Raw genomic sequence first — 24,059 nt, 5'->3', positions numbered from 1 at the left:
TGTTGCTTTCCTCCCCCACTGGTTGTCCTTTTCATAGACATCTCACCCATGACAGCAGAGAAGGAATCCCTCTAAACTATTCCCTCAGAACAACAAAAAGATTATGAAGGTGATGATGAGGATAAAGAGGATGATGACAGACACCATGGCGTCATGAACCCTTACTGAGGGCTTCCTAAAGGCCAGGCTCTGAGCTCTGTGGTGTATGCAGCCTGTTTCATTTCATCTGCATAGTCTCCCAGTTATTAGTGCACATTTCATTATTATTTTACAGACTAGAAAAGGAGCAACGCATTTTCATATAACTTCTACAAGATCATGAAGTCAAAAAGGGTGGAGTCCAATTTGAACCAGGCAGTCTAAATCCAGACACATGGCATTTGGCCAGTCCTGTCCCTGCATCCAACCTGCCCTCTCAAATCCTTATCACTCAGGCCTATGCCCCTGTTCACTGTGCCCTTCCTTTTGGGGATTCCTTGTAGACCACAGCTAGACCAGTGGGTGCCACAATCACTGTGTCAAGTATAGAAAGGGCAGCTGAGATCACATCAAAAATTCCAGAAAGAATTGGGAGAGGATCATTCGGGATGCATCTCTCCCTTGCCCCTGTTTCTGGCTTTCCTTACAGCTCTCGACTTCCTCAAAGGAGCCATAAATTCGGAGTTTGGCTTCCACTCCTATTGAGGAGGCTGGAAACCATTTCAAAAATGCTCCTCCGATGTGCCTGTGGTTAAGACCTCTGAGCTCTGCTTAAAACTTTTGGAAGCTTGGCGCGGTGGCTCACGCCTGTAATCCCAGCACCTTGGGAGGCTGAGGCAGGCGAATCACAAGGTCAGGTGTTCGAGACAAGCCTGGCCAACATAGTGAAACCCCGTCTCTCCTAAAAAGAGAAAAAAATGAGCCGGGCGTAGTGGCGGGCGCCTGTAATCTCAGCTACTCAGCAGGCTAAGGCAAGAGAATAGCTTGAACCTGGGATGCGGAGGTTGCAGTGAGCCAAGATCACTCCACTGCACTCCAGTCTGGGCAACAGAACGAGACTCCGTCTCAAAAAAACAAAAACAGAAACAGAAAAACCCACAACTTTTTGAGAGTTGGAAGACCATCATGTATAGTACCCGGGACTCAGAGTCTGGCCATTAATTTTCAATACCACCCTTTCTACTTATCTGTACAGTAAGGGGTGAGATGTCCATCCTCTGAGACTCAGCACTCTCATCTGAGTTGATTTCTAATTGAGCCAATGGAAGTGAGCGATGATTAAACCGATCATGGGTGCCTGCTTCGTGATCTCTACATGATGGATGCATAAAGTAAAGGCAAACTGAATTTTAGATACATTCGTTAACATTTTAGGCTTAAATTCCATACAATTCAACGGAAATATCCCCTGACCTGAAGTTCTGGTTTCCCTGCATTCCAGACAGGACATTTTATTTTGTCCTTATCTCAGTAAGTACTGAGTATTGTGGGAGGAACAAGCGAGTCTCTTTTGTTTCTGATTCCGCAGGGGCTATATCTTGCTTGGTACGTAGGAGATAGCAAAAGTAAAAATCTATGTTAATTATTGAATTGACACTTCTTTGGTTCACAAAAATTGGCTGTCATCAGTGTGACTTCGACTTACTTGATTCTTTTTGCTTTTTGTTTTTTGAGAAGGAGTTTTGCTCTTGTTGCCCAGGCTGGAGTGCAGGGGAGTGATCTCGGCTCACTGTAGCCTCTGCCTCCCAGGTTCAAGCCATTCTCCTGCCTCAGCCTCCTGAGTAGCTGGGACTACAGGCGCGCGCCACCATACAGGGCGAAGGTTTTGTATTTTTAGTAGAGGTGGGGTTACACCATGTTGGCCAGGATGGTCTTGATCTGCCGACCTCGTGATCCGCCCTCCTCGGCCTCCCAAAGTGCTGGGATTACAGGCATGAGCCACCGCGTCTGGAAAAACTTTCTGATGAAAAGTCTAAGTCTACCTCAGCTAAGGACAGGAGTGATAGCTTACATGAATTTTAAAACAAGACCCACCGATTTGAGTAAGCAATTATCTCTTCAAGGAGAAAAGTTAGAAAACAGAATGATGAAATCACCAGGACCTAACTGGCCTGTGGAACTATTTTCTGCTTATGAACTATCAACTTTCATTTCATTTCCAGATGGCATGGTCTCAGCTGTTATACGGTGTTTATAAATGTTCTCAATCAAAGGAATTTGTATCAATCTATTCGAATGAAATAAAATATTTGAGGTCTTAATTTCCTTTAATTAGGATAACCTTTTTCTTAAAGTGAAGAGAATGGTTTTATTACATATTTTTCTTCGGAAAAGATAGGCTGTATTTTCCAGCAATTACCAATTTGTTATATATAATGATCTGGTTGTTGGAACATTCTTGAATCTAGTGTCTCTAAGGCAGGTGTGTACAGCAAGAAGTGAATAACACAGAAATCAATGATGAAAGCATTAGAAGACAATTGAGTTTGTCAGAACTGCAAAATATTGCTGAGCGTGGATTGCTCTGAAATCTGAAAACATTACTTGTGAATTGCTTCTATCCAAAATGCAGACACAACGCTGGGTGTTGGTTTACTTGTTTCCGATTTTTCAACCCTCTTTTCTGGGTAAAAGGTGTCCAAACTCTACAGACTGACAGAGTCTAACAGGTGTCTCTATATTCCTCCTCCTAGAACTCTCAGAGGATCCAGAACTGCAGCCGGTCCTCGCTGGGCTGTTCCTGTCCATGTGCCTGGTCAAGGTGCTGGGGAACCTGCTCATCATCCTGGCCATCAGCCCTGACTCCCACCTCCACACCCCCATGTACTTCTTCCTCTCCAACCTGTCCTTGCCTGACATCGGTTTCACCTCCACCACGGTCCCCAAGATGATTGTGGAATCCAATCTCACAGCAGAGTCATCTCCTATGCAGGCTGCCTGACTCAGATGTCTCTCTTTGCCATTTTTGGAGGCATGGAAGAGAGACATGCTCCTGAGTGTGATGGCCTATGACTGGTTTGTAGCCATCTGTCACCCTCTATATCATTCAGCCATCATGAACCCGTGTTTCTGTGGCTTCCTAGTTTTGCTGTCTTTTTTTTCTTTCTTTTTCTCAGCTGCACAACTTGATTGCCTTACAAATGACCTGCTTCAAGAATGTGGGAATTCCTAATTTCCTCTGTGACCCTTCTCAACTCCCCCATCTCACATGTTGTGACACCTTCACCAATCACATAATCATGTATTTCCCCGCTGCCATATTTGGTTTTCTTCCCATCTCGGGGACCCTTTTCTCTTACCATGTAATTGTTTCCTCCATTCTGAGGGTTTCATCATCTGTGGGAGGTGTAAAGCCTTCCCCATCTGTGAGTTGTTTGCTGATATTATGGAACAGGCTTTGGAGGGTACCTCAGTTCAGATGTGTCATCTTCCCTGAGAAAGGCTGCAGTGGCCTCAGTGATGTACATGGTGGTCACACCCATGCTGAACCCCTTCATCTACAGCCTGAGAAACAGGGATATTAAAAGTGTCGTGCAGCGGCCGCATGGCAGCACGGTCTAATCTCAATATCTTCTTATCTGTTCCATTCCTTTTGTAGTGTGGGTTAAAAAAGGCAGCAAGGTCAATAAGAATGATATCACAGGGTGAACACCCACTGTGATATTAGGAGTAATACCTCCCTAGGATATAAAATATACTGTCACAGAGTCTACACACATGGAGTACACCCACTGTGAAATTAGAAGCAATATCTCCCTAAAATATGATGAAAAATATCACAGGGTGTGCACACTGTGTGATATTAGGAGTAATATTTACCCTGGATATGATGACTAATATCAAGGGTGTGTACACACGGGGTACATGCACTGTGATATCACGAGTTGTATCTCCCTAGGATATTATGAATAATATCACAGGGTATACACTATGTGCATACATCCACTGTGATATTTGAAGTCATATCTCTCTATGAGATTACAAATAATATCAAAGTGTGTACACCCCTGTGACATATTAGGAGTAACATCCTTCTAGGGTATTACAGATAACGTCACAAGGTGTACAACTTCTGTGACATTTTGTACACTCTTTGTGACATTAAAAGAAACATCCCCTTAGGATACTATGAATAATAACACAGGCCATGTACACACGTGGTGTACACCTCCTGCGCCATCAGGAGTAACATTCCCCTGGGATATTAGGAATAATATCATAGCAGGTGTACACACATGGTGTACACCCCATGTGACATTAGTAGGAACATGCCCCTAGGATATTAAGAATAGTATCACAGGCATTGAATACACATGATATACACCCCCAGTGACATTAAAAATAATTCCCCCCCTAGGATATTATGAATAATATCACAGGGAGTACACCCCCTGTGACATTAGGAGTAACATCCCCCGAGGATATAACGAATAATATCAGAGGGTGTACATGCATTGTGACTTTAGTAGTAACATCTCTTTAGGATATTACAAATAATATCACAGGGTGTACATGCATTGAGACATTAGTAGTAACATCCCGCTAGGATATGACGAGTCATATCACAGTGTGTACACCCCCTGTGACAATAGTAGTAACATTCCCCTAGAATATTACGAATAATATCACAGGAGGTACGTACAGCCCCTGTGATTTACGAGTAAAATTTCTACAGAATATTACAAGTCATATCACTGTGTGACTCTGTGTACACTCTATGTGACATTAGGAGTAACATCCCACAAAACTATGATGAATAATATCACAGGGTGAACACCCCGTGACCTGAGGAATAACGTGGTTTTAGGATATTATGAATGATGTGACAAGGTGTACACACCCTGTGACGTTAGGAGCAATATCCGTCTAGGATGTTAGGAAGAATATCACAGGGAACACACCCCCTGTGACATTAGGATATTATGAATAATATCACAAGGTGTAGATGCATTGTGACATTAGTACTAATATCCCTCTGGTATACTATGAATAATATCACAGGGTGTACATCCCTGTGACATTAGGAGTAACATCCCCCTAGAATAGGATGAATAACATCACAGGGGGTACACACCCTGTGACTTTAGGAGTATCACTGCCCTGGAATATGAGGAATACTGACCCAGGCTATTAACCCCCTGTGACCTGAGGAGTAACATCCCACTGGAATATTACAAATAATATCACAGTGTGTACACCAACTGTGATATTGGGAGTCCTATTTATTTTTAGGATATTAGGAATAGTATCAGAGTAGGTGTACACAGTAGGTGTTAAAATTTATAACCAATATTTTCATTTTATGTAGGTAGAGTACAGAGTTGGGTTTGTGTACCATGTGGGTTCTTCATGTTACAGAAAGACTTCTGAGCATATACTTGTAAGTTTATGCCCATACCATAGAACTTGAGCCTCATTTTACTAATAGGGCCATTATAGAGCTTTATAACTCTCCACCTCTACAGCCTATAGTCGGTCATAATTACATGGAGACCCAGATCAAGAATGCTATTCAGAATCGCAGCATTGAGCTCCTAGTGGCAAAATGTGACCCATGTGATGATAGTGTAACTAAGAGTGTGGTTTTCAGGCCCACACTGGGAGGGAACAGTGGGTAGTTTAGGTGCCATACCTTTATGTTTAGAGTGTGATTATAACTTCTAAGACAGGGAAAATGCTGTGGTTTCAGTGATCCTTGCTTCCCAGCTAGCAACCCTGACCAGTAATGACTGGTCAGAGATCTTTTTTGGGATATTATACATCTTCGTTCCTTTCATTCTTTTCCTTGCACACTTCTCTTCCTATTTGCTTCTTAAGTTCTGGGAGGAAGGGAGGCCAAAAGAGAACAAGGCTCTGGGAAGAAGAATCCTTTTTATGCCACAAAGTAGCCATTTTGCTGACTTCAAGAAGGTTCTGTTTGGTTAGGAGACAGCCTTTTGTTTAAGGGGAATTCAGATGCCCTGGGGATTTACAGCTTGCACAAACCCCCTGGAAATGGGAAGGGGCTGTGTGGCATGTCAGCAGGGAGAATGTAACTCTCCTTTGATGAATCCTCCAGAGTTCACAATCCTGGAATTTAGGGAAAGGAGGAGGCTGGTGGTGATCCCTGGACCATGCTGGATTTTCAACTCCAAATAAAGGAAGATGGGGGAACTGTGCTTCCATGGTGCCCCCTCAATTGGTGATTTCTTGAATTTTCATAGTATAACGGGGTTTGGAGTGAATCAGAATTGCTGCTGGAATGGTATTTTGCATTGTAATAACTAAGGAATACAGCTCATGTTCAAAGCTTAAGGAAAATATTTGGTAGATCCAAGATTAAGGCAAACATGCGTTGAATGCAAATTTGGATCCAGGAGCATGGGGCTTCAGAAAGTAGCAAGTTGACCAGCAAATGTTGGCAGGTAGAAAAACACACTTATAAGGAGAAATTCAGAAGTTAGTTGTTTTTCCTGCTAAAACCACGGAAAGAAAAGCAAGGGCCGTGAAGGGAAGACAGCAGAATTATTGTAGTGCAGAAGGAGATGCCAGATCCTGGCCAGCCACCAGGACAAAGGCAGCAGTGGATTCCTAGTGTCAGGTCCTAGAGGAGGTAAAGGCCTCGCTCCTGGTGCTGGGTTTGAAGAAGAGGCTTTACTGGTTATTTTACAAGAAGAATTAGTGCATGAGGTAACAAACTGCTCCCGTTCTGTGGATGTCTAACTCGTCCTCTAAATAAAAGCTTTCCAAAACGCCATGTTGCGTATCAATTTATATTAAGGTTTTTAAAGTAAAACCACTATCAATTTGTTTTTAAGAAGGAATTGTTTGATAGGAAAAGTCTAATAGGCTAGAAAAGCTGGCTTGTTTTATTTAATTCTCACAACTCCACTTGACACTTCCAAATTCACTTTACAGATGAAGAAAGTGATGCTCAGGAGGTGGTGTCAGCTGCCCACAGTAGCCCAGCCGATCAGAAGCAGCACCAGGCCCCCACCTGCTTCAGCCCATGGGCTTTTTGCATGGCTGCCTGGGATCCTGATAGGTCATTTATTTGATGACTTTGCTTCACCAGAGCAATCATTTCATGTATAGTTTCATGACTAGGAACTGGCTTCAAAAACAACTTCTAATGAGTCAAAAACAGCCAAAATGGCAAGGATGGAAAAAATCCATGGGTCAGTAGAATCATAAAGGGCAGAGTGCATATATCTGTCTGTCTCTCATTCTCTCCACCTTCCTTTGCTTCCCTTTTCCCCCTCTCTTTTCCTCACATTCTCTCTCTCTTCTCTCTGTTCTTCCCTTTCTCCCATTCTTGCTCTTTCTTAAGTCCTATTAACAGCTTTGTCTACATGGCATCATTTTTACTTGTCAGCATCTGCTTTGGCTTATTCTTAGTCATTGTGCTTGTCTTTCCCATTGGAGGATAGCCGGATCAATCCTTTTCCATTCTGTCAAAATGGGACAGTGGCAGTTTAATGACTGAGTCTGTGAATGAATTGGCTAATACCAAGTAACAGAGCAACAGAAATATACGCTTTAGATCCTTAATCCTAGGCAAGGAAAACAAGGAGACTCAGCCCTTTCTGCACTCCAGAAAGAAGGCCCTCTCTGGGCTCAGTCTCAGTAGAGCAGCAGGAGGCACAGCTGTGGGGAAACCCAGGGTATATTTAGTGTGGCCCCATTTGAGCTGGGCAGGTCCCAGCAAAGCATCCCTTGCTATTTGTGTGCCATGGCCAGTGTGTGTCCTCCCAAGATGAAGAAGGCTTGGGCTCTCTGAGACAACCTTGCCACCGGGGGCCTCTTGCCTCAGACCCTGGTCCTTAAACCAGGATGATGCTAGAAGGAGGCCAAAGGACAAGCAGAGATGAGTGACTCCCAGGGTAACGGGTAGCTCTGGACATGGATGTGAATGATGACAGAAAGCTCCTCGCAGAAATGAGGAGACCTGCCTCTGCTCCCAGGACAGTCAAGGGAAAGCACTCAGACCAGGACCCTGCCAGTAGCATCCCCCTCCTCGTGGGGCATCGCAGCCCCGGGACCTTAGGACAGGTGAGCTTCTTTCTCTGAGTCTCAGCTCCCTCCACTGTAAAACAGACACAATCTGCCCAATATTTCTGAGATGTTGAGGATAACACTGAATGAGCTGTGAACATCTTTTAGAATCCTGGAGCACTGGGCTTTATAAGGAATCATTGTTACACGAAAGTTCTGGTTTGGGGGGTTTTTCTCATTGCAGTTATTATCAGGTTGAATTTCCACAACCAAAGGAGTCAGTTGGGTTGGGAAAGTCAGAAAACATTGATTTTTTTATACTTCTTGTATGCCATGTATTGTTCTAGCTGTTTTATATTGTTATTTTTGAATCATGTAAAACCCTGCAATATTACCATGCATTAGACTGATGATGTAGACATCACACTTTTCAGTATTATGTTGCCATAAGTTTGGAGGAGAGAACACCAAGGCTTGCTTTGGGAAGGTTGCTTCAGATCACACAGCCAGGGCCATGAGTTAAGAATGGCAGTTTCCATCTGTCCCTTTGTATTTTTCCTAAGTCCACAGAAGAGTGAGCAGAAACTGATAGAGTCTAGAGGCCAGAGATGAGCTAGAATAATTTGTTTGGCTTTGGAATGAATTGAAATACACACACACACTCACACACACACGTGTTGCCCTTTTCACCTGGCTTGTCTCTGTTCTGCTTTAGTTTTTCTCAGTTGTCAAGGATCTAGGATGTGGGTCAGCTGACAGTGTGTTTGTCCTGGAGCGGTCACCATGGGCACCATTGGTGGAGACTGGTTCCCTTTGAAGAGATGCCTACGTAACATCCCAGCCTTGTCGCCAGAAGGCTCTGGGTCTGCCCACACTGGCCCCATGATTTTAGCCAAGTCACTTCCCCTTAATTCTATTCTGGTCTCTACACCAGTACAGTGGAGTGGTGAGTTGGAACTGGGTCCCACCTTGCCGGTCTGAGAACAGGCTCCTTCTGAACATTCACTCCCAATCATTTCCATATTCCCTTCAATCTTGCTGTAGGGCTTTGGGGAACAAAACACAGGGCCAGAGGCAATGAGTGACACCAGAACTAAATATCAGCTGTTCCTCCCAAGTTCACTCAGTCATCTCCTGGAGGGGGTGCAATGAAAACTTGTCCTCAATTACTTTGAGATATATACCATGATATTTTTAAGCAATGCATTTGTATTCCTAACAGTATTTGCCTCAGGTTGTATAAATATGAGTCCATAATCCTTGGGTGAGGCCCAGACTCCATTTGTTCTTTGGCTGCTGATAAACCCATCGAGTAATTGAGCCCAAGTGGATAGATGTGAGTCAGTTCTCATGCTAGGCTCATACAAATATTCTCATTGATAATGAATGGTTGTACAAAGTATTTTTACCTATTATCTCTTTAAAACTACCCAAAGTCCTGTGATGATACCACGACTCCCCCTAGAGACCGATGAGGAAGCGGGGCTTCAGACGGAGGCAGACTTGCCTGAGGCCAGGATCCCCTCCACGGCTGCAGGTGGAACCAGTGAGCTGCCAGGTGGGAGGCAGCTCCCAGGCCACCCTTTCATGCATACTTCTGAGCTCCCAGGGGAGGGAGGGGAAGATAGGCTTTTAGTTCCCAATGGCTGAGACCCACAGGGTGGCTTGGCTTTGCCAAATCCCCAGGAAACAGGGGCGGTGGGAAGAACCCAGAGAAGGTGGGGTTGAAGAGAAGACTGCCACAGGCTTAAAGGGGAGTGCGCTGGAGTTGGTGACGTTTCGGTAGCACCTAGGAATTTGAGCCCATCTGCACGGAGCTCTGTAAGGCTGGGGACTCGCTGAGATTGCAGAGAGGCAGGAATAGGGAGTGCTGTGGAAAGACAAAAACATTTTTGTCCTTGAGCCTTCTCAGTCTGTGCAAGACAGGAAATTCCTCAATTCTCCTGAGGCAGCCAGCTTCCCTGACTGCTGCAGCCTAGTGAGAGAAACGAGATAGACCTGTGTATTTCCAGTCTTATGTCCCCAAGCCCACTCCTGGAGCTTCTGCCAAGGCCCCTGGTAGCCCTCCATCAAAGGCTGCAATGCTGAGTCAGGAGCATTGGAGAGCAGCAGGGGCCTGAGAGCCCCATCTTCGAAAGGGACCATTGGGGGTTACCTGCTGTCACACTCAGGCTCCATGCCCTTCAACTGCACCTGCTTTGGGGTTTTCCTCCAGCCTCCTGGACCTTCCCAGCTTCTCCCCATCCAGGTTCCCAGAGGCTGGGCTAGGAGAGTTCTACAGTAGGCCTGCTTTCATTTTCAGTGGCAGTGGATAAAAATTCAGTGGCAACTTTGGAGGTGACACCTGCCCAGATACATTACATACCGTGGAAACCTCCCCATGGCTCCGCTTCCTGAAGAAGGTCTAGTATTTGTGGTCCTGTGTTGATAAAAACCCAAAATGCCGGCGGTGCTTTCCCCAGAAACTTAGGGTTTAAGTTAGAAATATCCTAACCCTCCCCTTCTCAACAGCTGCATCTGCCAAAAACAAAAACAAAAAATGCTAAAATGGCATTACTGAAAGTCAAGCTGCCTGGCTCATAGGACCAAGGGAGATACCAGAGGCTGGGCACCCATGGCTTGTCCTGCACCAGGATTGTTCCCTGTGAGATGTGGACGGCAGGACCAGCCACTCCACAGCCCCCTCCCCTTCAGCTCCTGTGAGGCGGGGATTCCAAGAATGAGGAAAGGCTGCAGCCACCTCCACAAGAAACTGAATGTGAGTGAGGGGCCAGGCCTCTCACCCTCCTCGACTTGCCGACGCACTCCCTCTCTGAGAAATTGATTTTTTCTCCCAGTTTTTATTAAGGTATTATTGATGTACAATAAACTACACATACTTAAGTTGTTTAATTTGTTAAGTTTTGCCATATGTACACACATGAAACCTTTGCCATGATTTTTTAAAGTGAAATTCTCATTGTCTCCAAATGTTTCCTCATGCCCCTTTATAATCCAACCTCCCGTCCCCTGCCCCACACCACTACTGACCTGCTTTCTGTCACTGGACTTTGCATTTTCTAGAATTTTATATAAATGGAGTCATCCAGTATGTACTCTCTCTTTGTCTAGCTTCTTCCTTTTTTTTTTTTTTTTTGTTTGTTTGTTTTTGCTTTTGAGACAGAGTCGTACTCTGTCTTCCAGGCTGGAGTGCAGTGGTGTGATCATGGCTCACTGCAGTCTCAACCTCCCATGCTCAAGTGATCCTCCCACCTCAGCCTCCCAAGTAGCTGGTCCTACAGCTTGGTGTCTTTCATTCAACATAATTATTGTGAGATTCATCCCTGTTGTGGTGCCCTCAGTAGTTCATTCTTTTTTGTTGCTGAGTAATATTCCATTGTGTGGATATATCACAATTTGTTTATTTACTCACCTGTTGATGGATATTTGGGTCATTTCTAGTTTGCAGCTATTGTGAATGAAGCTGCTCTGAAAGTTTGTGTACACGACTTTGTATGGATATGTGCTTGCATTTCTCTCGGGGACATACCCAGGAGTAGCATGACTAGATCCTAAGGGAAGTATATGTTTAACTTTTTAAGAAACTGCCAAGCTGTTTTCAGGAGGTTCTGTACCACCTGCCATATATGAGATTTGCAAGTTGCTCCACATCCTTGTCAAGACCAATTCTTGGGATGTGATGTCTTTTTATTTTTAGCCGTTCTAATGAGTGTAGTGTCCTTGGCTTTCATGAGGTGCTTAAAACTTCCTAGGATGGGAATGGAGCACCATATAATTATAGAAAATGACAAAGAAGCGTTTCAGTTCTGCCTTATGAGAGACACCAAGACGTACTGTTAAGTTAAAAACATGCCAATTATTTTGTATAACGTGCTTTCATTTACTTTTTAAGAAGATAATAAATGCTGTTTGCTTCCATATGTTACACACGTAGATCATCTCTGCCAAGATGAACAAGAAACTGAAAACTCGTTGCCTCTGAGGAGAGATCACTGGTGGCCAGGGGATGGGGTGGGAGGGAGACTTGCCATACTCTTTGGTATCTTTTGAATTTTGTGCCATGTGAGGGTATCATTTATTTGAAAAATAAATAAAATGTTTTAAAAACTCACAAACTTATAGGCACTCATTGTTCATTCCTGGCTATCAGGCAAGAACCTCATCATTGCCAAGCAGAGAAATTGGAGGCATCTTGTTCCTAATGATCTCTAGGAACTCCAAACACTCTTCATCTGTTAGCTGCCAGTTTCTGGTGGGAACCTGAGCATCAACACAGTCATGTACCAAGTGGTCATTTAGTCTGTGTTTGTTGAATGAATGCATGAACGTTCACCCCACACTCTGTTTTCTACCACACAGAAAAGAAGAGTAGCGGGAAGAGCGAGTACCTTCTGCCTGTGGCTCCCAGCAAGCCCAATGCACCCATCTTCCTGCAGGGCCTCTCTGATCTCAAAGTCATGGATGGAAGCCAGGTCACTATGATGGCCCAAGTGTCAGGTCTGTCTCTGCAGCTCTCTCTCGGGGATTAACATGAAAATGGTCTTGGTTGCAATGAGTATTGCTCTCCGAGGACCCGCTCAGATCCTTGATCCACCAGAAAATCAGATGACCATCAGGTGATGGACCCAAAGAAATGGAGATTCTTGTCCTCTCTTTTCTGCTTTCTCTGGGTAGGATTTTCTAGATTCCGATTAAATGGTCCAGAGGAAGAAGATGGCCATAGAGCTAGAGCAGTGAGAGATTAATTTGAAATTATAGTGTGGCCAGTGTAGCTGGAAGGTTTTAAAGACTGGTACAAAACCACATTATGTGAGAACTTCCCAAATCTCAGAAGATGTTTTCTCAGTTGCTCTATTCAAATTTTGCGGTGAAATGATAGAGCAGAGGTTCTTCTAAAACAGAGGCAGGGAAACAAGAGCATGTGATTAGTATCCTGGTCTGAGATATCACAGTCCTTGCTAGAGGTGAGTGAGAGAAGCCCAGAGAAGATCCTGGCACATCGCTCATGGCTGAGGAGCCAGAGTTTTCCACTGAGTGCATAACTGGTAATTGGCCACTGATCAGTGCCTCTGACACTCTGAAGGTCGCTTTCCTAGTTTTTCAGTCCCTCTTGAGCTGCATAAGCAAAACCAGATGGGCCATCAGAGATCCTGTGGACTTGCCCTTTTAGGGATGCTTAGATGGACTCCCTGTTCCTGCGGGCTAGAAGCCACCCTTTGATGGTCCTAGGCAGAGGGCTGGGTCCCCTCCCCTGTCCACACTCACCGTGCTGCACACTGAGTCCTTGAGTTGAAAGAGATTGGAGGTGCTCTGCACCTGCCTCCAGGCATTTGATGTCTAACCCATGGCAGACATGCCATGCCCTCTCCTGAACCTCTCCAGGGCCTGGTGTCACACAGCCTGCCTCAGCAGCCTCCTCCAGGGCCCTTGCTCCTTTGAAGCAGTGCCTAACAGCTCAGCTCTTATATCAGAGGAAAGCCTCACAGATGCCCATGGTTTTATGCTCCAAAAAATCCCCAGAAACTACCCAGAAAAGTAGACCAGTAAAAACTGAAAATGCTATCCATCAAGAGCCATGTTTGGAAATCCTGCTCAAGCTGGTACCTATCTTTACCCTGGGATGATATTTTGTGTGATAGAAAAATGAAATGCTACCTGAGGTCTCTCTCTGCTGAAAATTTGCAAGGGAGTTACCATGAAGTTACCATTGCCTAGATGTGGGTGCACCATGTGAAGCAGTGCAGAGCAGAAAACACATTCAGTTTCAACCCAGGAGTCCAGTCACCACTTAGGATTATCAAGCAGCTTGAATTCTAATTTTAAAAACTATTCTTCCTGGGTTTTCTGTTTCATATCTGAAATCATATTTTCACTTCTGGGTTTTTAGTATTTTCCCCAAATCTTATGTTAAATAATTCTGATGAGCATGTATGGGGTGTTTTCTGTGTACCAGATGCTGTTCTAATCTGCTGTCCTAATGGGCTGCTAAGGGAGGTTTGGTTGACTCATTTCATCCTCCCAACAAACCCACGAGGTAGATCCTGTTTGAATTCCTGTTTTACGGATGGGGAAGTGGAAGCATAGAGAGTTGTTGGAGTGTTTCATCCAATATCACTGTATTAAGTGCAGAGTTGCTGCATGGCGGGAAGGACCTCCCTAACCAGTCCCCCTTCCCCTCCTCCTGGTTCAGGGAATCCACCCACTGAAGTCATCTGGCTGCACAATGGGAATGAGATCCAAGAGTCAGAGGACTTCCACTTTGAACAGAGAGGCACTCAGCACAGCCTTTGTATCCAGGAAGTGTTCCCGGAGGACACGGGCATGTATACCTGCGAGGCCTGGAACAGCGCCGAAGAGGTCCGCACCCAGGCCATGCTGATGGTACAAGGTGAGGCTGACCCACTCAGAGCGAGTGGGAAGGAGGTGCTGCTGCGGCCTCTCCAAAAGTGATTTGGAGGCAAGGAAACCACATGAGGCTACTTTCTTCCCACTGTAGGCCCTCTGTTCCCTCAGTCCCACCCCAGTCCCAGAGGCCAGCTCCCTGTCCAACATCACAAGCTCTGACTGAGTGGGGCTGTCCTTCCCAGCTTTCTGAAGTCCCTGCCCTCTCTGGATTACTGGTGCCAAGGTGCATAGAGTACTAAGAGGGAAATCTGTAATACACTGAACAATTTGGCAGCGAGAGCTTTTGAGGTGAGTTATGGGCTTAACAGGGTCCTTGCCATCAGATAACATATTTAAGAGGAGAGGCAAGTTAAGCACACATAAAGTGAGTGACAACTCTTAATCACACGCATTGGATACAGATCATTAGCACCTGGCTCGGTGCCCCTGTGCCTTCTGGGCTATGTCCCCTTACGTTGGATATACAGTCATGTTAATATTATCCTCTGAGAATATATCGGAGATGGATGTGCAATGAGAAGGGTGTGCTGCATTTGTGTATCCAATCGCAGTGATTTCTGGACAAGCTGTTACTTGGGTGACATGCTATCTTCCCTCTTTCACCTCCATGGAGAATTGAGTGGACACTGCCTGCTGAGGGGCCTCCCTGTTTAGCTCTGCCCTTTGCCAACTTCCAGAGCCTCACGATGGCTCCCAGCCCTGGTTCATCAGTAAGCCTCGCTCAGTGACAGCCTCCCTGGGCCAGAGTGTCCTCATCTCCTGCGCCATAGCTGGTGACCCCTTTCCTACCGTGCACTGGCTCCGAGATGGCAAAGCCGTCTCCAAAGACAATGGCCACTTCGAGGTGCTTCAGAATGAGGACGTGTTCACCCTGGTTCTAAAGATGGTGCAGCCCTGGCATGCCGGCCACTATGAGATCCTGCTCAAGTGAGTCTGCATGTCCGGCCAGCCTCCCTTAACCGTTCCCTCCAAATTCCTACCTCCCCTAACCTGGGTCTGGGCAGCCAGAAGAAGCACAAACCAATGTGGGGCTTGGACTTCCAGGTAAAGCAAGTGCGGGCTCAGTGCTGCTCACAAGCTTTTGCATCTTACACTTCAGTATAGCAAGTGTTCATTAGAACCTTCCCTTTTGAGCTCACTTCCCCAGAATCCTGTCTTGTTACATCCCTGTTCCCCCATTATGTGGTGTATGGTGAGTATGAAGGAAGGAGGAATGGATTAAAGTTGGAAAAGCAGGGGGATAGAGGGAATGCATTTGTTACCTATTGCTGTGTAACAAATTACCCTGAAACTTAGCAGCTTGAAACATTTATCGTCTCCCAGCTGGGAATTTGGAAGCAGCTTAGCTGGATGATTTTGAAGTTTCAGTCAAGATGTCGGCAGGGGCTGCAGTCTCTGAAGGCTCGACTGACACTGCAGGATCCGCTTCCAAGGCTCACTCCCGTGACTGTGGCAGGAGGCCTCAGCTCCTCACTGGTTGTAGGTGGGAAGCCTTGGCTCCTCACTGGCTGTTGGTGGGAGGACTCAGCTCCTTGCCTTGTGGACCTCTCCGTGGGGCTGCTTGAGTGTCTTTATAGCATGGCAGCTGGCTTCCCCAGAGCTAGTGATCAAAGAGGGAGCCCAGGTCGGAGCTTGCAGTGTCTTTTAAGACCTACGGTTGGAAGCCACATGCCATCACGTCCGACTTTGTTAGAAGTGAGTCACTAAGTACAGCCCATACTCAAGGGGAGGTAAATTCAGTTCCGCCTCTTGGAGAGAAGAATTTGCAGACATTTTAAAACTACCACAGGGAGGTTACATTTCCCCATTACCTTCTTCTCTCCTTTTCAAGGTCTTGCTAGGTTGCACAGGAAGGTCAGCTCCATGAGGCACACTGCTACATTGCCAGGCCTAGAACAGTGGCGAGCCCATAGTCCACACTGGGTAGCTATTTATTAGATGAATGTGATTCAGAAATGCTCTTTTACCTTGAAAATGCTCTGTCTCTTAAAATCCTATGCCAGCCCTGGATTGGTGGGGACAGAATGCCTTCTGTGGGTCCTGGGGTTGGTGTAAGCATCGAAGAAGAGCATTTGTCTGCACCTAACCTACAAATAGGAGGTGGTGCCACATCCTGAGGATGGTTAGACCTGTCCTGGCCCGGGTGCATGACCACTTTGCAAGTGGCTTTCTTGCCTGTACTTTATCATCTCCCCATACTGAGCCATCATATTCACAGCTCTGAGCTACAAATAGGCTCTAGAGCTAAATGCCAAGGCTAATGCAAAACCTAATATGTACCCTATCCCCTTAGGTCCTTTGTGACCATGTGCTTTATACCTGTATCAGTTATCTTTTGCTGCGTAACAAACCAACCCAATACTTAATAACTATTAAAAATAACTAGATTTTTTAAGCAGTTTTATTATTTCTTAGGAGTCTTTGGGTATCCTAGAAAGTTCTGCTGATTTAGGCAAGGCTAATCTCAGCTGAGCTCAATGACATGTCTGTTGCGGTCAAGTGATGGGATGCTTGTGAGCTGCTGGTCACCCTACTATTATTAGCAGTACACTCAGAATGCATCAACTGCCTTTGCCTTATGCTTGAACTAGTTATTACCAGGAAGGCCACTCTGCCTCCAAAATGGGGAGAAGGTACACACTTACCCCATAGGTCAGTACAAAGAATGGAAACTGATGATGTGTAAAAATATGTGCTGATGATCTTGTCGTATAGAAGGAGTAGCACTTTGAGATAATGCTTACATTACTCAAGCCAGACATCCTAGAGGAGATGAGCTTGTTTTGGGATTTTGATGGAGAAGGAAGGCTGAGTCTTGGCAAATGTGATAAGGCTTAGCTATTGAGTAGGCTGAGCAAGAAAGGGTGGGGTGGGGGCAGAGCCAAGCAAAGGGCTGTGGGAAGTTTGCCAGGCCAGAGAGGAGGCGTGCACCAGGAGGTCGGCAGGCAGACTATCTGGGGCCAGCTGGGGACAGTCATAAAATTGAGACTGTCCCGGCCGGGCATGGTGGCTCATGCCTGTAATCCCAGCACTTTGGGAGGCCAAGGTTGGCGGATCATGAGGTCAGGAGATCAAGACCACCCTGGCTAACATGGTGAAACCCAGTCTCTACTAAAAATACAAAAAATTAGCTGGGTGTGCTTGCAGGTGCCTGTAGTCCCAGCAACTCGGGAGGCTGAGGCAGGAGAATGGCCTGAACCTGGGAGGTGGAGCTTGTAGTAAGCCGAGATCGCACCACTGCACTCCAGCCTGGGCAACAGAGCGAGACTCCGTCTCAAAAAAAAAAAAAATTTAGATTGTCCCAGCTGGAAGGGGTTTCAGAAGTTATCTAGCCTCATCATTGTTTAATAACGGGGGACAGTGAGGTCTCAGGGTCATGGACTTGTTTGTGGCCACCCAAAGGCAAGTAACAGAGCCCAAGTTCAAGCCCTCATCTTTTGACTTAAATCAGATGCTCTTCCATTCCTTATGGCTCTGCATGGGGAGTTTCTCCCAAGTGCACAGGGAACTGGAAGGACCTGGGAAACCACACTAGAGCCTCCAGCCTGCAGCCTTTGCCTCTTTTTCTTCCCCAAAGTCCAGCCTCTTCATTCCTTTCAGAGGCCACTGCCCTGGCCTTGGCTTTGTCCCCACCTGAGAAGAAGCAAGTCAGTAGAGTTTCCTGAGGGTACGTGGCAGGCCTGCCAGAGACCTCGCTCCTCCAGTGACCTAGACCTAGAGCAGGGTGCCTTTCGAGGGGAACGACTGGATGGCTGGGAGGGAGCCGGGGGTCTGGTGTACAAGGGCAGAGGGGTGGGCAGATCCTGCTTGTCCCTGCTAGGGTTGTGAGGCAGGTATGGGTGGGTAGTTTCTGCCTCTCTTCCCTTCCTAGCTCTTGTCTACTGTGCCAAAAGGGGAAATGACAAAAAGTCAGGTCAAAATTCCAGCTGGAATACTTGAAACACTTGATACTTGCCAGGAAATTAGTTCTTTAAACTGATTTTTCCATATAAAACCATCCAAGAGGTCGATGATTCAGGGTGGGACAGGATCCAAGGCTTTGTAATCAAAGAGTGGGACTCTTATTCAGGGCTTAGTAAGCCGAGGCAAAAGGACTCTGTTTATTTGTGAAAGTTTCAGTATATAGGATGATAGCCCCATATGCTCTGTGGCAGCTCCTGGGATGGGGCCTCATCTTCAGTCCCAGCCCTGATTTTGTAACTAGGTATGTGCAGATGTCAAAGATGGCCCCAAGACCCTGTTCCAGCAGCTTAGGTGATCTGACATGTGGGTCCCAGGCAGGAGGCCACTATGAACTTTGTAGGCTGCAAATGAACCCATGGTTTGTCTTTAAGGCCCAGCAGAGATTTAAGTGTATGGCTGTAGGAATGGTTACCACTAGATCACCCTCACCACCGGATGTTCCACCTAATGGGTCAGCCTTGGTACCAAGTCCTCCACCTTCCTCTGACCCCTTAGACTGCTGGGTGCCACAGGGTAAGGCCTGGGGGTAGATTGGTCAGGAGCCCTTGAGAAGCTTATCTGAGTCTGTGCTCCCCACCTTGAGCACAGGTCATGGAAAGTGAAAGAAGCCCTCATCTGCTTCCCCCATGGGGAGAGACGGCTTACTCCAGCTTGGTGCACAGGGCTGGCCACCACCAAAGCCTCTCAGGAGTTCAGCTGGGGTAAAGCAGCCATCTGGGCAGTGTCTGCTCCTGATGTTTGCATCTGGGCTGTGTTCTACTGGTGACAGGAGGAAACTCTGCTGAGGAGATGCTGAAAGGACTGCCAGGCAAACACAGCCCTTGGGCATCTCATCTTCCTGCTCCATGTCAATCCAGGCACCACAAGGCTGTGCTTAAAAGTAGGAAAAGAGTGGCCTGACACTGGCCAGCAGCCTGGCAGAAGCAGGGTGACCTCACATGGTTATTCTACAAGCTCACCCAAAGCCCATAAGCCTTTCTGAGTGTTGAGAACTCGGGGCACGCTGAGGACCTCTTAGTCTTCCCAGGGCCTGGCACCCATGAGGTTTCTAACTGCTGTTTGTTGAGCAAAGGAACACCCTGAACTCAAAATTCTCCAGACTTGAGACTCCCTGCACCTTGAATCTGTGCCCTCTGAGAGCCTGAGCATTGAGGAGGGTGGCTGGGAGGGGACAGGCTATGGGATGCATGGCCAGGGTGGTGAGAGAAGTGAAAGAGCTAAGGCAGTCAGGAAGGCACCTGCACCAGCACAGCCTGGGACAGCACGAGGGCACTGGGGAGAAGGACAAAGGAGGGGAGCTCAGCAGGAGAGGGGAGCCCAGCAGGCGAGGGGAGGCTGGAGGATAGCAATGATTGGCTTCTCCTTGCTTCAAATGGGTGCCAGCACCCAATGGTGAGCAGCACCCCAGAGCCCCTGAGAATCCTGGGCCAGGCCATGGGCTGCCAGTGTCCATCCACTGGGAGGGAGGCCAGGCAGAGTGAGGTGGAGACCCACACACGCCAGCAGAACGTACAAGAACACATGCTCAGATGCCTGTCCAGGTGGGTGTAACTCATATGTGCACATATTCCCAAACACAGACCTCCAGGGGCAGGTGCCCACCAGCTAGACCAGTATATGTGTGCATCATGTGTATGGTTGATATCTACATACGTGCATGGACACACACATGTCCCAGACCAGATTTGTACTGATAAGCACAGTAGGGTGGGGTGCAAAGGTCATAGCGTCACAGGTCCCAACCCCTCCCTCCACTAGCACGCTCTGTGAGTTTAGGCAAATTACTTAACCTTGACCTTTAGTATTATTATTTTTTAATAGAGGTGAGGTCTTGCTATGTTGCCCAGGCTGGTGTCAAACTCGTGAACTCAAGCAATCCTCCCACTTCAGCCTCCCAAAGTGCTGGGATTACAGGCGTGAACCACTGCACCTGGACTACTTTACCTTTATAAGCCTCATTTTTCTTACCTTATAAAAACAGTGCTGACTCTAATCTCACAGAGCTGTTCTAAGATTAAATGAGATGTTTCATGTAAAGAATCTGTCACAGAGCTTGGCACATCTGCTATTGGGTCTGAGTGCTAGTGAGACAGCCACATCCAGGGGCATGAGTGGGAGCACTGTTGTCAGAGACCCTGAGGGTCCCACCCCAGAGCCCCCTTTCCTTATCTTTAAATTGGGCATGGCAGTACTCTATGCCTCTCTGGCATGCTGTAGATATCAAGAAAGAACTGTGTGTGGGTGTCATGAAAGCTGGAGGGTGCTGTATGAAATGCAGTTGTTATAACCATCACTAGTCACCTCTGGCTTGCAGACTTGCCCCCACCCCTTCCCCTAGCCTGAGCAGAACCTTCTTGGCTGGTCAGAGCTCAGAAATGCTAGCAGGTGGCAGCCTTATGGGGTTGGAGGGACAATCTGCTGCAAATCCACTGCACTGCAGCCAGGCAGGGTACAGCCCCTCCCCTGAGCAGAGGGCCTGAGCCTCTGTGCACCAGCAGGAGACTGACCAGGTTTATGGACAGGAAGAATCCAGAGCCCTCCCCACCTGAAGGAAGAAGAGAAAGGGCCACTCATGTAGGAAAACACTTGTTGGGTTTTTAACACAAAAACTTCTGATCTGAGAGCATTATCAATGAGTGGGGGGTTGAGGGTGCTTCCATTCCTGAGAAGGAGAGGGAAAGGAACTACCTCCCTGTTAAGGGATCATGGAGTCAGAGTCAGGGTCACTGAGCAGGCCCACCACCAGGGCCTATCTGTCTAGACCGAGCTGCTCCATCACAGTCCCTAGCAGTGTTAGCCTTTCTCCTTCCCCTTTTATTAGCTGATCGATTGATTGATTATATTATATACTTACAGAAAAGTATTCCTACTTCTGGATGCCTGCCTTGGCTGTTGTCCAGAGATTCTTTGTTTCTTCTTTTTAAATAAGAGCTGAGAAAATAAAGGGTGACCACAGAATGAGAGGGTCCTGCCCTAAATCTAAGGCTGGGGTGAATGTCACAGCCAAGTTGATGAATTCCTGCAATCAAATCCACACTGAACAGGCCCTTTGTCCAGAGGGCCTCTTAATCTTTATTGATCTTTGGAATTCCTCAGGAACCGGGTTGGCAAATGCAGTTGCCAGATGTCACTGATGCTAGAGAACAGCCCTGCCAAAGCCCTCCTGCAGTGAGTGCCCCCAGGAGCTGCCCCACCAGGCCATGTTCCCATCCCCACCTTCCTCCTGGCCCTGGCAGCTCCAGCCCAGCAGCCCTAGTTGTTTGTGCCCTGCAGCTGAGGCTGCCAAAGCCAGACAGGAGAGCCTGGAAGGGGAATGAGGGAGGGAGAGCAGGGGAAGGAGGGGGTGATTTTTTTTTTTTTTTTTTTTTGCACACACTCCTATAAGGCTACTGAAGTCATTACCGATGTAATAAACCAACTAAGCAAGTGAGCACCTCTGACCAATGTTCCCATCTATAAACACAGCCTGGCCAGCCTCCCCCCTCCCCTCCCGCTCCCCTCTACCCTCCCTCAGGGATTTGCTCTCCCCTGACGTTTCTTTCTTACCCAGCCCCTTTTCCTCCTGCTACTTTCCTTTTTCCCTTCACTGGTTGCAGGGGGAGTGAGCCTGCCAGCTGTGAGGGCCTCTGTGGTGGAGGAGTTGGTGCTGATGGTGGTGGTAGTGACCGCTATGGGTCCCTGATGCCTGGCTGGCCAGCAAGAGGGCAGGGTTGGCCAGAGGAGGAAGACGGCGAGGACATGCGAGGGGTGCTGAAGAGGTGCATGGAGACGAGGCAGCACACTGAGGAGGCGATCCACCAGGAAGAGATGGAGCAGCTGGACTTCCGAGACCTCCTGGGGAAGAAGGTGAGTACCAAGACACTATCGGAAGATGACCTGAAGGAGATCCCAGCCAAGCAGATGGATCTCCGTGCCAACCTGCAGTGGCAAGTGAAGCCAAAGACTGTGTGCGAGGAAGAGAGGAAGGTGCACAGCCCCCAGCAGGTCGATTTCTGCTCTGTCCTGGCCAAGAAGGGGACTCCAAGACCCCATGCCTGAGAAGGTGCCACTGCCAAAACCTACCACCCCGGATTTTCACTCAGTGCTGGGTGGCAAGAAGAAATTACCAGCAGAGAATGGTAGCAGCAGTGCTGAGACCCTGAATGCCAAGGCAGTGGCAAGTTCCAAGCCCCTGAGCAATGCACAGCCTTCAGGACCCTTGAAACCCGTGGGCAACACCAAGCCTGCTGAGACCCTGAAATCCACTAGCAAAGAAGAACTCAAGAAAGACCTTAAGAATGATGTGAACTGCAAGAGAGGCCATTCAGGGACCACAGATAATGAAAAGAGATCAGAGAGCCAGGGGACAGACAGCCCCAGCCTTCAAGGAGAAGCTGCAAGATGTTCGTGTGGCAGAGGGCAAGAAGCTGCTGCTCCAGTGCCAGGTGTCTTCTGACCCCCCCCAGCCACCATCACCTGGACGCTGAATGGAAAGACCCTCAAGACCACCAAGTTCATCGTCCTCTCCCAGGAAGGTAAATGAGTGTGGGGGTTGGAGAAGAAGGGGCCTCTGTACCAGGGCCACTGCTAGCTCATGCAGCCTTGGTCTCGCTGACCTCTGTTAGCAGCCCATAGCTTGGGTAGGAGGGTCGTGCCCCTGTTTCCTGCTCACTCAAGGATAGGTCCCTGCTCAGGGGCCTTGGGTACATGCACCAAGGCTGGGGCTAAGGGCTGGGATCCTGGTCTTTGTGGCACATGCCCACATCTCGGCATCCGTCTGGCAGAGCCCTCTCATGGCACCCCCACCTGTGGCTCCCCAGAGGAGACCTGAGCCTGAGTTAATTCCCAGCTCCAGCGTGGAGAGGGCTCTGTTCACAGGCTTGGAGGTGGGGGACACGGAGGCTCAAGCCAGCGAGGAGCTCTGAGTAAAGAGCTGTTTAGAGCAGCGTCTTAGGTTAGGGGAAGGGTGGGCAGTGACCAGATGGCACGGAGCTCTGAGTTGGGGTCAACAATAACTTAAGTCTTGATAGCATTGTGGGTTTGAAGGGATCTGTCAGGAAAGCCAAAATCCCAAAACAGCCCCTACAGCACACACTCATGGGCAGACAGAGCTGCTCGCTTCCTAATTTGCATGAGACTTTTGTTTGCTGGTATTTCACATTCTTGGATGGTGGGGAGAGGAGGGGGCCCCCAAATCCTTCCATCTGTGTGGGCTTTTGGGGTCTGGAGTTTTCAGAGGGGCCAGTTTATACTTGGAGAAGAGATGGGGGTGACATAGGAGGATTTTCTCTGGACCCTGAATTTGGTTTGAAGTGCTTTTGTAAATCCCAAGTCTGGGTGGGAGCTCCGAGGCCAGCCGACCTCCACACCCCATTCTGGCAGCCAGCGGAGGGATAGGTTGCCAACGCAGAACAGAGTCCGGTCTGAGCTGATGCTGGTGGCTCTGGCCAGGGCAGGGTACAAAGAAGCTCCCGGGAAGTGACATTTCGCCCTTCAGGCCAGAGGGCAGCCACAGAAGAGGCCAGAGTGGACAGGTCCTGTCAAATCCGAGTCAGCTGAGGTGTCAGAGTGCTCTCCCCGTGGGCTGCTCCCCTCCCTGTCCCCTGGCAGCACCCTCCCCACTCTCTCCCTCACCTCCCTCACCTGCCTTCCCCTCACAAGCAACATGGAGCATTTGAAGATCACACAATCCCTCTCAGCCCCCAGTAAGGGTCTGTCTACCCTTTACATCTGGGACAGCACACCTGGAGCAGCTGAGC

The 24,059-nt window shown here is 47.8% G+C and overlaps 2 pseudogenes, besides 1 other annotated feature; both read left to right on the top strand.

Annotated features, from left to right (window-relative positions):
* On the top strand, window positions 2,620-3,141 carry OR7E66P (olfactory receptor family 7 subfamily E member 66 pseudogene; annotated as a pseudogene).
* Window positions 12,312-22,836, top strand: MYLKP1 (myosin light chain kinase pseudogene 1; annotated as a pseudogene).
* Window positions 19,679-20,180: an enhancer, noted in NCBI's record as "H3K4me1 hESC enhancer chr3:75380355-75380856 (GRCh37/hg19 assembly coordinates)". NCBI's record gives its function as "activates a minimal SCP1, AML or CMV promoter by ChIP-STARR-seq in naive H9 embryonic stem cells {active_cell/tissue: H9 hESC(naive)}" and the evidence as "EXISTENCE:reporter gene assay evidence [ECO:0000049][PMID:30033119]".

The sequence above is a fragment of the Homo sapiens genome, chromosome 3 (assembly GCF_000001405.40).
Source record: "Homo sapiens chromosome 3, GRCh38.p14 Primary Assembly".
NCBI lineage: Eukaryota > Metazoa > Chordata > Mammalia > Primates > Hominidae > Homo > Homo sapiens.
Note: the sequence above shows the minus strand (reverse complement) of the source record. Positions and strands in the feature narration are given on the sequence as shown.